Source organism: Homo sapiens, chromosome 2 (assembly GCF_000001405.40).
Source record: "Homo sapiens chromosome 2, GRCh38.p14 Primary Assembly".
In the NCBI taxonomy this organism is placed as follows: Eukaryota; Metazoa; Chordata; class Mammalia; order Primates; family Hominidae; genus Homo; species Homo sapiens.
In genome coordinates this window covers 91,918,499-91,932,499 of record NC_000002.12, presented here as the reverse complement: position 1 = coordinate 91,932,499, position 14,001 = coordinate 91,918,499, and the positions used below count along the sequence as shown (strand labels likewise).

Sequence of the window (14,001 nt, the reverse complement as noted above, 5' to 3'; positions counted from 1 at the left end):
GTTCAAAACCAGCCTGGGCAACATAGCAGACCTTGTCTTTACAAAATATTAAAAATTTTTCTGGGTCTCAGCTACTCAGGAGGCTAAGGCAAGAGGATCACTTGAGCTCAGGAGGTTAAGCCTACAGTGAGCAATGTTTGCATCACTGCACTCACCTTGGGCAACAGAATGAGACCCTGTCCCCCAAAATAAATATATATTCGGTACACTGTCAGTAGAGATAATCTCTACATCTTATCTCTACTGTTCCTTCTGTATCCACAGTTTTCTTGCAGCACCTTCTAAGTATTTATTGAATCATTTTACTCCTCTCCAAACTTTCTCTTTTGCTCTAGCTTAGGCTATTTGTTTCCAACTTTTGCGTGGACTGTGGCAGAGCCTTCAATTTGGTCTCTGTCTCCAGTTTTATCCCTAACTAATTCACCAAGGCCGTCATATAAAAATCACAAGACTCATTATGTTACTTCCTGCCTAAAACCTTCCCATGGTGCCTTACTTTGCCAAAGTGGGGGGAGACCTTTCTATGATCTGGCCCACCAAGCTCATTTTTCTCCCTCCTTTCCTTGCCCTGTATGTTCCAGCAACACTAAATTACTTGTTGAACCCCATTTAGGTGTATTGTTTCTTATCGCCATTCCTTTATTCATGCTGCCTTCTCTACTTGCTTGTAACCTGCCCTTTACCAAAATAATGAGAGACATAGTGCATTAGAAAATAAAGTAAACATTTCTGTTTTCTTTCTCAGAAAAATGAACTGTCATGTATGTTTATTTTCTTTCTTTTAAGGGATGTTACTGGCTGGTTTTACAATTAGGAATGTTCCATTCATCAATGAACATGTCCATGTTCCTAACGCATGGTCTTCAATTTTAAGAAGCATTGCCCTTAACATTATTCTAATACGAGCTGGGCTTGGACTCGATCCACAGGTAGATTTACAATTACAAATCGAGTAAGGTTATTTCAAATATTAGAGGATGGTGAGAAAGAAAAAGAAGCAAAAATTTTATTTACCTGTTCCAAGTGGAGTCTGTAAACAAACCTAAGATAAAGAAAAAAAGGCCGGGCATGATGGCTCATGCCTGTAATCTACAAAAATTAGCTGGGCATGGTGGCATTTACCTGGTAATCCCAGCTACTCGAGAGGCTGAGGCAAGAGAATCGCTTGAACCTGAGTGACAGAGGTTGCAGTGAGCTGAGATAATGCCACTGCAATCCAGCCTGGGGGACAGAGTGAGACTCTGTCTCAAAAAACAAAACAAAACAAAACAAACAAACAAAGGTTTTATAAGAAAAACCTTATACAATTCTTTTTCTTTTTTAGGGTGATTAAGGATTTCAGTAATTTTTTATGACGTTTTCTCTACAGGATTATGTTCCTGATTATCTTTGCATTATTGTAAAATCTAATCTTTTAAAACATTTCTTAAAATATTACATTCTAGGGATCATAAATTCCATCTATAAGAAGATGACTATTCATGAATATGACAGCCACTCAAATATATGTGGCAAATGTGGTTTAATAGAAATAGCTCGAGCACAAATAATTATAGCCAATGAGATTATATTCTCCAGTAGAAAGTATGAACCAAGGAGAAAATTGAAAAGTTCTCCCTTTTAAAATGAATTATGCAGTTTTTAAGTTATTTTCTTTGGCATGTTAGTATTGTATTTATACTTATTAAGTTAATCAAACAGTTCATATCAAAAAGTTAATGGGAAAACACTAATAGGACACTATTATTATACTATGTATTAGGAAAGTTCAGGAAGGTAGCATTAACTATTTAATCACAGTAAAATTGATCTTTTAATAATTAAAATATACAATAATATTTTATAAAAGATGAAATTGTTTATAATCCAACCTATGATGACATATAAAATATAATAGAGTTCAAAGTCCAGTGGGACAATCTGTTGAAATGAGATTTTGTTTAGTGAAAGCTTCTTATGAAAAAAGACTTTATAGACCAACATTTGTTAAAATAATTTTCTTTTTGGCCATTGTAAATGTATCAAATGTGACTGTTTTGTGTTTCAGGCTTTGAGGCATTTGAAGGTGGTTTGTTTCAGATTGGCTATAGGTCCATGCCTTATGGAGGCAAGTGCAGCTGCTGTTTTATCCCACTTCATTATGAAATTTTCCTGGCAATGGGCAATTCTATTAGGGTAATTTCTTTCTCATTTTTTCTTACGAAAATATTCAATTAAAGAGGCTTGGTTAAAACTGTTAAAATATTCAGAATATTGTATAGAAAAGCTCTATTAAAATTCATTTCACAGTGTTAAAATCCTTGGAAAGCACTTGATTAAAAGCAGAGCATGTCCCAAATTGCACGAAATTTTTTAACAAACATTAATAGCCCCTAAATGTTTATCATCAAGAAAATTCGCGTGATCAATTTATTCCTTTTCATCTGTATTATAACATATCTGTATGCTTTAATCTATCTAATGGCCTCTTCCTCATGGCTATATGTAAATACAGTTGCACATTTCATATATATGTATGTGTATATATATATATATATTTGAGAAACATTTTATATAGACAGAAGAAAGCAAGCAAACAAAATCTCTTGCCGTATATCCAATGCCCCATCCATCTTTATCTACCATCCATTTGTCTTATGTTTGAATTCCTCAAAATAAGTCTATAACTACTGTCTCTAGATCCTAACTCCTTTTCATTTCTTAATTAATCAACTTTTGTCTCTGCTTATCCATTCCAATGACACTCATAGCAAAGTTCATCCATTACATAGTTACTACAAAATCCAGTGAATTTTTAAATTAATGTTTATGATAAAATACTCAAATGCACTTTTATTTTAAAAATTAGAACTTTATAAATAAAGGAGGAATGACCTTAAACTATGCCTTCAAATCATAATGCCCATAACTCTACCCAAAGTGACAACTCTTAGGAGTTTTTTTCTTCTCCAATTTTTATTTTGGCTCAAGGGGTACATTAGCAGGCTTGTTATATGGATAAATTGCATGTCACAGGGGTTTGGTATGCAGAGTGACGATTGATCCCTTCTTTCTGTCCATGTGTACTCAGTGTTTAGCTCCCACTTATAAGTGAGAATATGGGATATTTGGTTTCCTGCTCCTGCGTTAATTAACTTTGTGTATTATTCTATGGTGTATATGTGCCACATTTTCTTTATCCAGTTCACCATTGATGGACATTTAGGTTGATCTCATGTCTTTTTTATTTTTTTTCATTAGTTTTTAAGGAACAGGTGGTGTTTGTTTACATGGAAAATATTTTTAGTGGTAATTTCTGAGATTTTGGTGCACCCATCACCAGAGCACTGTACACTGCACCCAAGGTGTAGTCTTTTATCCCTCACCCTCCTCCTACTCTTCCCCCTAAGTCCCCAAAGTCCATTGTATCATTCTTGTGCTTTTGCATCCTCATAGCATAACTCCCACTTATAAGTCAGAATATACAATGTTTGGTTTTTTCATTCCTGAATTACTTCACTTAGAATAATGGTGTCCGACTCCTTCCAGGCTGCTGTGAATGCCATTATTTCATTCCTTTTTATAGCTGAGTAGTATTCTGTCCATGGTCTGTGTGTGTATATATATACACACACATACACATATATATACACATATATACACATATGTGTGTATATACACATATATACACATATATACACACATATATGTGTGTATATACACATATATATACACATATATGTGTATATACACATATATACACATATATGTGTGTATATACACATATATATATGCACCACATTTTCTCTATGCATTCATTGATTGATGGGCATTTGAGCTAGTTCCATATCTTTCACAATTGCAAATTGTGCTGCAGTAAACGTGTGTCCAAGTATTTTTTTCATATAAAGACTTCTTTTCCTCTGGGTAGATACCTAGTAGTGGGATTGCTAGATCAAATGGTAGATCTACTTTTAATTATTTAAGAAATCTTCATACTCTTTTCCATAGTGGTTGTCCTAGTTTACATTCCCCCCAGCAGTGTAAAGGTGTTCCCTTTTTACCACACCCATGGCAACATCTATTTTTTTTTAATTTTTTGATTATGGCTATTCTTGGAGGAGTGAGATGGTATCGCATTGTGGTTTTGTTTGCATTTCCCTGATAATTAGTGATATTGAGGATTTTTTCATGTTTCTTGGCCATTTATATCTTCTTTTGGGAAGTGTCTATTCATGTCCTTAACACACTTTTTGATAGGGTAGTTTGTTTTTTTCTTGCTGATTTGTTTGTGTTCCTTATGGATTCTACATATTAGCACTTTGTTGGATGCATAGTTTGTAAAGATTTTCTCCCACTCTATATAGGTTGTCTTTTTACTCTGCTGATTAATTCTTTTGCTGTGTAGAAGCTTCTTAGTTTAATTAAGTCCCATCTACTTATCTTTGCTTTTGTTGCCTTTGCTTTTGGGTTCTTGGTCATGAAGTCTTTGCCTAAGCAAATGTCTAGAAGGGTATTTCCAATGTTACCTTCTAGAATTTTTATAGTTTTAGGTGTTAGATTTAAGTCTTTGATCCATCTTGAGTTGATTTTTGTATAAGGTGAGAGATGAGGATGCAGTTTCATTCTTCTACATATGGCTTGCCAATTAACCCAGCACCATTTGTTGAATATGGTGTCCTTTCCCAACTTTATGTTTTTGTTTCCTTTGTTAAAGATCAGTTGGCTTAAGTATTTGGCTTTATTTCTCAGTTCTCTATTCGATTCCATTAGTCTACGTGCCTATTTTTATAGCAGTATTATGCTGCTTTGGTGACTATAGACTTATAGTACAGCTTGAAGTCAAGCAATGTGATGCATCCACATTTGTTCTTTTTGCTTAGTCTTGCTTTCGTTATGCGGGCTATTTTTGAGTTCCACATGAATTTTAGGAATGCTTTTTCTAGTTCAGGGAAGAATGATGATCTATGATCATCAGTGATAACTGTCCTGAAGTTTTCTTTTTTGTTGTGTCTCTGCCAGGTTTTCATATCTGAATGATGCTGACCTCATAAAATGAGTTAGGGAGGGATCCTTCCTCCTCCTTTTTTCGGAACAATTTCAGTAGCATTGATACCAGCTCTTCTTTACACTTCCGGTAGAATTTGTCTCTGAATCTGTTGGGTCCTGGGCTTGCATTTTTTTTTCTTTTTTTGGCTCAGAGACTTTTTATTACTCATTCAGTTTCAAAACACATTTTTTGCTTTGTTCAGGATTTCAATTTCTTCCTAGTTCAATCTTGGGAGGTTGTATGTTTCCAGAAATTTACCCATTTCTTTTTTTTTTTTTTATATACTTTAAGTTTTAGGGTACATGTGCACATTGTGCAGGTTAGTTACATATGTATACATGTGCCATGCTGGTGCGCTGCACCCACTAACTCGTCATCTAGCATTAGGTATATCTCCCAATGCTATCCCTCCCCCCTCCCCCCACCCCACCACAGTCCCCAGAGTGTGATATTCCCCTTCCTGTGTCCATGTGATCTCATTGTTCAATTCCCACCTATGAGTGAGAATATGCGGTGTTTGGTTTTTTGTTCTTGTGATAGTTTACTGAGAATGATGATTTCCAATTTCATCCATATCCCTACAAAGGACATGAACTCATCATTTTTTATGGCTGCATAGTATTCCATGGTGTATATGTGCCACATTTTCTTAATCCAGTCTATCATTGTTGGACATTTGGGTTGGTTCCAAGTCTTTGCTATTGTGAATAATGCCACAATAAACATACGTGTGCATGTGTCTTTATAGCAGCATGATTTATAGTCATTTGGGTATATACCCAGTAATGGGATGGCTGGGTCAAATGGTATTTCTAGTTCTAGATCCCTGAGGAATCGCCACACTGACTTCCACAATGGTTGAACTAGTTTACAGTCCCACCAACAGTGTAAAAGTGTTCCTATTTCTCCACATCCTCTCCAGCACCTGTTGTTTCCTGACTTTTTAATGATTGCCATTCTAACTGGTGTGAGATGGTATCTCATTGTGGTTTTGATTTGCATTTCTCTGATGGCCAGTGATGATGAACATTTTGTCATGTGTTTTTTGGCTGCATAAATGTCTTCTTTTGAGAAGTGTCTGTTCATATCCTTCACCCACTTTTTGATGGGGTTGTTTGTTTTTTTCTTGTAAATTTGTTTGAGTTCATTGTAGATTCTGGATATTAGCCCTTTGTCAGATGAGTAGGTTGCGAAAATTTTCTCCCATGTTGTAGGTTGCCTGTTCACTCTGATGGTAGTTTCTTTTGCTGTGCAGAAGCTCTTTAGTTTAATTAGATCCCATTTGTCAATTTTGGCTTTTGTTGCCATTGCTTTTGGTGTTTTGGACATGAATTCTTTGCCCATGCCTATGTCCTGAATGGTAATACCTAGGTTGTCTTCTAGGGTTTTTATGGTTTTAGGTCTAACGTTTAAATCTTTAATTCATCTTGAATTGATTTTTGTATAAGGTGTAAGGAAGGGATCCAGTTTCAGCTTCCTACATATGGCTAGCCAGTTTTCCCAGCACCATTTATTAAATAGGGAATCCTTTCCCCATTGCTTGTTTTTCTCAGGTTTGTCAAAGATCAGATAGTTGTAGGAATGCGGCGTTATTTCTGAGGGCTCTGTTCTGTTCCATTGATCTATATCTCTGTTTTGGTACCAGTACCATGCTGTTTTGGTTACTGTAGCTTGTAGTATAGTTTGAAGTCAGGTAGTGTGATGCCTCCAGCTTTATTCTTTTGGCTTAGGATTGACTTGGCAATACGGGCTCTTTTTTTGGTTCCATATGAACTTTAAAGTAGTTTTTTCCAATTCTGTGAAGAAAGTCATTGGTAGCTTGATGGGGATGGCATTGAATCTGTAAATTACCTTGGGCAGTATGGCCATTTTCACGATATTGATTCTTCCTATCCATGAGCATGGAATGTTCTTCCATTTGTTTGTATCCTCTTTTATTTCCTTGAGCAGTGGTTTGTAGTTCTCCTTGAAGAGGTCCTTCACATCCCTTGTAAGTTGGATTCCTAGGTATTTTATACTCTTTGAAGCAATTGTGAATGGGAGTTCACTCATGATTTGGCTCTCTGTTTGTCTGTTGTTGGTGTATAAGAATGTTTGTGATTTTTGTACATTGATTTTGTATCCTGAGACTTTGCTGAAGTTGCTTATCAGCTTAAGGAGATTTTGGGCTGAGACAATGGGGTTTTCTAGATATACAATCATGTCATCTGCAAACAGGGACAATTTGACTTCCTCTTTTCCTAATTGAATACCCTTTATTTCCTTCTCCTGCCTAATTGCCCTGGCCAGAACTTCCAACGCTATGTTGAATAAGAGTGGTGAGAGAGGGCATCCCTGTCTTGTGCCAGTTTTCAAAGGGAATGCTTCCAGTTTTTGCCCATTCAGTATGATATTGGCTGTGGGTTTGTCATAGATAGCTCTTATTATTTTGAAATACATCCCATCAATACCTAATTTATTGAGAGTTTTTAGCATGGAAGGTTGTTGAATTTTATCAAAGGCTTTTTCTGCATCTGTTGAGATAATCATGTGGTTTTTGTCTTTGGCTCTGTTTATATGCTGGATTACATTTATTGATTTGCATATATTGAACCAGCCTTGCATCCCAGGGATGAAGCCCACTTGATCGTCGTGGATAAGCTTTTTGATGTGCTGCTGGATTCGGTTTGCCAGTATTTTATTGAGGATTTTTGCATCAATGTTCATCAAGGATATTGGTCTAAAATTCTCTTTTTTGGTTGTGTCTCTGCCCGGCTTTGGTATCAGAATGATGCTGGCCTCATAAAATGAGTTAGGGAGGATTCCCTCTTTTTCTATTGATTGGAATAGTTTCAGAAGGAATGGTACCAGTTCCTCCTTGTACCTCTGGTAGAATTCCGCTGTGAATCCATCTGGTCCTGGACTCTTTTTGGTTGGTAAACTATTGATTATTGCCACAATTTCAGCTCCTGTTATTGGTCTATTCAGAGATTCAACTTCTTCCTGGTTTAGTCTTGGGAGAGTGTATGTGTCGAGGAATTTATCCATTTCTTCTAGATTTTCTAGTTTATTTGCGTAGAGGTGTTTGTAGTATTCTCTGATGGTAGTTTGTATTTCTGTGGGATCGGTGGTGATATCCCCTTTATCATTTTTTATTGTGTCTATTTGGTTCTTCTCTCTTTTTTTCTTTATTAGTCTTGCTAGCGGTCTATCAATTTTGTTGATCCTTTCAAGAAACCAGCTCCTGGATTCATTGATTTTTTGAAGGGTTTTTTGTGTCTCTATTTCCTTCAGTTCTGCTCTGATTTTAGTTATTTCTTGCCTTCTGCTAGCTTTTGAATGTGTTTGTTCTTTCTTTTCTAGTTCTTTTAATTGTGATATTAGGGTGTCAATTTTGGATCTTTCCTGCTTTCTCTTGTGGGCATTTAGTGCTATAAATTTCCCTCTACACACTGCTTTGAATGCATCCCAGAGATTCTGGTATGTTGTGTCTTTCTTCTCATTGGTTTCAAAGAACATCTTTATTTCTGCCTTAATTTCGTTATGTACCCAGTAGTCATTCAGGAGCAGGTTATTCAGTTTCCATGTAGTTGAGCAGCTTTGAGTGGGATTCTTAATCCTGAGTTCTAGTTTGATTGCACTGTGGTCTGAGAGATAGTTTGTTATAATTTCTGTTCTTTTACATTTGCTGAGGAGAGCTTTACTTCCAACTATGTGGTCAATTTTGGAATAGGTGTGGTGTGGTGCTGAAAAAAATGTATATTCTGTTGATTTGGGGTGGAGAGTTCTGTAGATGTCTATTAGGTCCGCTTGGTGCAGAGCTGAGTTCAATTCTTGGGTATCCTTGTTGACTTTCTGTCTCGTTGATCTGTCTAATGTTGACAGTGTGGTGTTAAAGTCTCCCATTATTAATGTGTGGGAGTCTACGTCTCTTTGTAGGTCACTCAGGACTTGCTTTATGAATCTGGGTGCTCCCGTATTGGGTGCATATATATTTAGGATAGTTAGCTCTTCTTGTTGAATTGATCCCTTTACCATTATGTAATGGCCTTCTTTGTCTCTTTTGATCTTTGTTGGTTTAAAGTCTGTTTTATCAGAGACTAGGATTGCAACCCCTGCCTTTTTTTGTTTTCCATTTGCTTGGCAGATCTTCCTCCATCCTTTTATTTTGAGCCTATGTGTGTCTCTGCATATGAGATGGGTTTCCTGAATACAGCACACTGATGGATCTTGACTCTTCATCCAATTTGCCAGTCTGTGTCTTTTAATTGGAGAATTTAGTCCATTTATATTTAAAGTTAATATTGTTATGTGTGAATTTGATCCTGTCATTATGATATTAGCTGGTGATTTTGCTCGTTAGTTGATGCAGTTTCTTCCTAGTCTCGATGGTCTTTACATTTTGGCATGATTTTGCAGGGGCTGGTACCGGTTGTTCCTTTCCATATTTAGCACTTCCTTCAGGAGCTCTTTTAGGGCAGGCCTGGTGGTGACAAAATGAGTCAGCATTTGCTTGTCTGTAGAGTATTTTATTTCCCCTTCACTTATGAAGCTTAGTTTGGCTGGATATGAAATTCTGGGTTGAAAATTCTTTTCTTTAAGAATGTTGAATATTGGCCCCCACTCTCTTCTGGCTTGTAGGGTTTCTGCCGAGAGATCCACTGTTAGTCTGATGGGCTTCCCTTTGAGGGTAACCCGACCTTTCTCTCTGGCTGTCCTTAACATTTTTTCCTTCATTTCAACTTTGGTGAATCTGACAATTTTGTGTCTTGGAGTTGCTCTTCTCCAGGAGTATCTTTGTGGTGTTCTCTGTTTTTCCTGAATCTGAATGTTGGCCTGCCTTGCTAGATTGGGGAAGTTCTCCTGGATTATGTCCTGCAGAGTGTTTTCCAACTTGGTTCCATTCTCCCCATCACTTTCAGGTACACCAATCAGACATAGATTTGGTCTTTTCTCATAGTCCCATATTTCTTGGAGGCTTTGCTCATTTCTTTTTATTCTTTTTTCTCTAAACTTCCCTTCTCACTTCATTTCATTCATTTCATCTTCCATTGCTGATACCCTTTCTTCCAGTTGATCGCATCGGCTCCTGAGGCTTCTGCATTCTTCACGTAGTTCTCGAGCCTTGGTTTTCAGCTCCATCAGCTCCTTTAAGCACTTCTCTGTATTGGTTATTCTAGTTATACATTCTTCTGAATTTTGTTCAAAGTTTTCAACTTCTTTGCCTTTGGTTTGAATGTCCTCCCGTAGCTCAGAGTAATTTGATCGTCTGAAGCCTTCTTCTCTCAGCTCGTCAAAGTCATTCTCCATCCAGCTTTGTTCTGTTGCTAGTGAGGAACTGCGTTCCTTTGGAGGAGGAGAGACGCTCTGCGTTTTAGGGTTTCCAGTTTTTCTGTTCTGTTTTTTCTCCATCTTTGTGGTTTTATCTACTTTTGGTCTTTGATGATGGTGATGTACAGATGGGTTTTCGGTGTGGATGTCCTTTCTGTTTGTTAGTTTTCCTTCTAACAGACAGGACCCTCAGCTGCAGGTCTGTTGGAATACCCTGCCGTGTGAGGTGTCAGTGTGCCCCTGCTGGGGGGTGCCTCCCAGTTAGGCTGCTCGGGGGTCAGGGGTCAGGGACCCACTTGAGGAGGCAGTCTGCCGGTTCTCAGATCTCCAGCTGCGTGCTGGGAGAACCACTGCTCTCTTCAAAGCTGTCAGACAGGGACATTTAAGTCTGCAGAGGTTGCTGCTGTCTTTTTGTTTGTCTGTGCCCTGCCCCCAGAGGTGGAGCCTACAGAGGCAGGCAGGCCTCCTTGTGCTGTGGTGGGCTCCACCCAGTTCGAGCTTCCCAGCTGCTTTGTTTACCTAAGCAAGCCTGGGCAATGGAGGGCGCCCCTCCCCCAGCCTCGCTGCCTCCTTGCAGTTTGATCTCAGACTGCTGTGCTAGCAATCAGCGAGATTCCGTGGGCGTAGGACCCTCCAAGCCAGGTGTGGCATATAGTCTCGTGGTGCGCCGTTTTTTAAGCCAGTCTGAAAAGCGCAATATTCGGGTGGGAGTGACCCGATTTTCCAGGTGCGTCCATCACCCCTTTCTTTGACTCAGAAAGAGAACTCCCTGACCCCTTGCGCTTCCCAGGTGAGGCAATGCCTCGCCCTGCTTTGGCTCACGCACAGTGAGCACACCCACTGGCCTGTGCCCACTGTCTGGCACTCCCTAGTGAGATGCACCCGGTACCTCAGATGGAAATGCAGAAATCACCCGTCTTCTGTGTTGCTCACGCTGGGAGCTGTAGACCGGAGATGTTCCTATTCGGCCATCTTGGCTCCTCCCCCCGAAATTTACCCATTTCTTGTAGGTGTTCTACTTTGTTTGCATAAACATGTTCATCATAGTCTCTGAGAGTTTTTTGTATTTCTGTGTGGTTGGCGGTAATGTCCACTTTACCATTTCTGATTGTGTTTTTTGTATCTTCTCTTTTTTTTTTTCCTTATTGGTCTAGCTAGTGACCTATCAAATTTATTTATTCTTTTGAAGAACCAGCTTTTAGTTTCATTTATCCTTTGTATGCCTTTTCATGACTCAATTTTATTCCATTCTGCTCTGATTTTGGTTATTTATTCTCTTCTGCTAGCTTTGGGTTGGTTTCCTCTTGTTTTTCTATTTCCTTTAAGTATGATATTAGGTTGTTAATTTAAGATCCTTCTAACTTTTCAATATGGGCATTTAGCACGATAAACTTTTCCCTTAACACTGCTTTGCCTGTGTCTTAGAGAGCCTAGAATGTTGTATCTTTGTTTTAATTAGTTTCAAAGAATTTATTGGTTTCTGCCTTAATTTCATTGTTTACCCAAAAGTCATTCAGGCACAGGTTGTTTAATTTCCATGTAATTGTATGGTTTTGAGAGTTCTTCTTAGTGTTGACTTCTATTTTTGTTACACTGAGCGGTCCAAGATTGTGGTTGGCATGATTTCAGGGGTTTCTTTTAATTTACTGAAAATAATTTTAGACTGATAGTGTGATCAATTTTACAATATATGCCATGTACAGATGAGAGGAAGATATATTCTGTTGTTGTTGGGTGGAGTGTTCTGTAGATGGCTGTTAGGTCCATTTAGCCAAGTGTTGACTTCAAGTCCTGAATATCTTTGTTCATTTTCTGTCTCTATGATCTGTCTAGTACCGTCAGTGAGATGTTGAAGTCTCCCACTATTCTGTGGTTATCTAAGTCTCTCTATAGGTATCTATGAACTTGTTTTACGAATGTGAATGCTCCAGTTTTGAGCACATTTATCTTTCAGACAGTTAAGTCTTCTTGTTGAATTGAACCCTTTATCATTACTTAGTGCCCTTCTTTGTCTTTTTGATTGTTGTTGGTTTAAAGTCTATTTTGTCTGAATTAGAATAACAATGCTTACCCTTTTTTGTTTTACATTTGCTTGGTAGATTTTTTTCCATCCTTTTACTTCAAGCGAATGGGTATTGTTGCATATGAGCTGGGTCTCTTGACAACAGATAAGGTTGGGCTTTGCTTCTTTATCCAACTTGTCATTCTGTGAGTTTTAAGCGGGGCATTTATACTGTTTACATTCACAGTTAATATTGGTATTTATAGCTTTGGTCCTACCATTATGTTGTTAGCTGGTTATTATGCAGACTTGATTGTGTAGTTACTTTACAACGTCAATGGTCTATGTACTTAAATGTATTTTTGTGGTGGCCATTAACAGTCTTTCACTTCCACGCTTAGCACTCCCTTAAGGACCTCTTGTAAGGCATGTCTGGTGGTAACAGATTCCATTAGCATTTGCTTGTCTGAAAAGGATCTTACTTCTCCTTCACATATGAAGTTTAGTTTGGCTGGATATTAAGTTCTTGGTTGAATTTTTTTTTTTTTTTTTTTTTTTTTTTTTGTGACAGAGTCTTGCTCTGTCCCCAGGCTGGAGTGTGGTGGTGTTATCTCGGCTTACTGCAACCTCCACCTCCTGGGTTAAGTGATTCTCTTGCCTCAGCCTCCCGAGTAGCTGGGACTACAGACACGCACCACCATGCCCAGATAATTTTTGTATTTTTATTAGAGATGAGGTTTCACCATGTTGGCCAGGATGGTCTTGATCTCTTGACCTTGTGTTCTGCCTCCCTCAGCCTCCCAAAGTGCTGGGATTACAGGCATGAGCCACCACACCCAGCCAAGTATTTTTTTTTTAAGAATGCTGAAGGCCGGGCATGGTGGCTCACACCTGTAATCCCAGCACTTTGAGAGGCCGAGGTGGTCAGATCATGAGGTCAGGAATTTGAGACCACCCTGGCCAATATGGTGAAATCCTGTCTCTACTAAAATTACAAAAAATTGCTGGGTGTTGTGGTGCACACCTGTAGTCCCAGCTACTTGGAAGGCTGAGGGGGAAGAATTGCTTGAACCCGGGAAGTGGAGGTTGCAGTGAGCCGAGATAGCACCAGTGCACTCCAGCCTGGGCAACAGAGTGATACTCCGTCTCAAAAAAAAAAAAAAAGAATGCTGAATATAGGCCCCCAATTTCTTTTGGATTGTAGAGTATCTTATAGTTCCACTGTTAGCCTGATGGGATTCCCTTTGTATGTGACCTGCCCCTTCATTTTAGCTGCCTTTCATATTTTTTTATTTCATGTTGACCTTGGAGAATCTGATGACTCTCTGTCTTGGGGATGGTCATCTTGTATAGTGTCTCACAGGATTCTCTGCATTTCCTGGATTTAAATGGTGACTTCTCTAGCAAGATTTGGGAAATTTTTGTGGGCAGTATCCTCAAATATGTTTTCCAACTTGCTTGTTCTTCCTCCCTTTCTTTGAGTGATGCCTTGAGTCATATGTTTGGTCTCTTTACATAATCTCATATTTCTCAGAGGTTTTGTTCATTCTTTTTTGTTCTTTATTTTCATCTGACTGAGTTGATTCAAAGAAGTGGTCTTTGAGATCTGAGATTCTTTCCTCAGCTTGGTCCGTTCTGCTGTTAGTACTTGTTATTGTAT

General features: G+C 38.4%; 1 pseudogene; it reads left to right on the top strand.

Annotated features, from left to right (window-relative positions):
- Window positions 786–14,001, top strand: part of SLC9B1P2 (solute carrier family 9 member B1 pseudogene 2) — a 48,809-nt pseudogene continuing 35,593 nt past the window's right edge.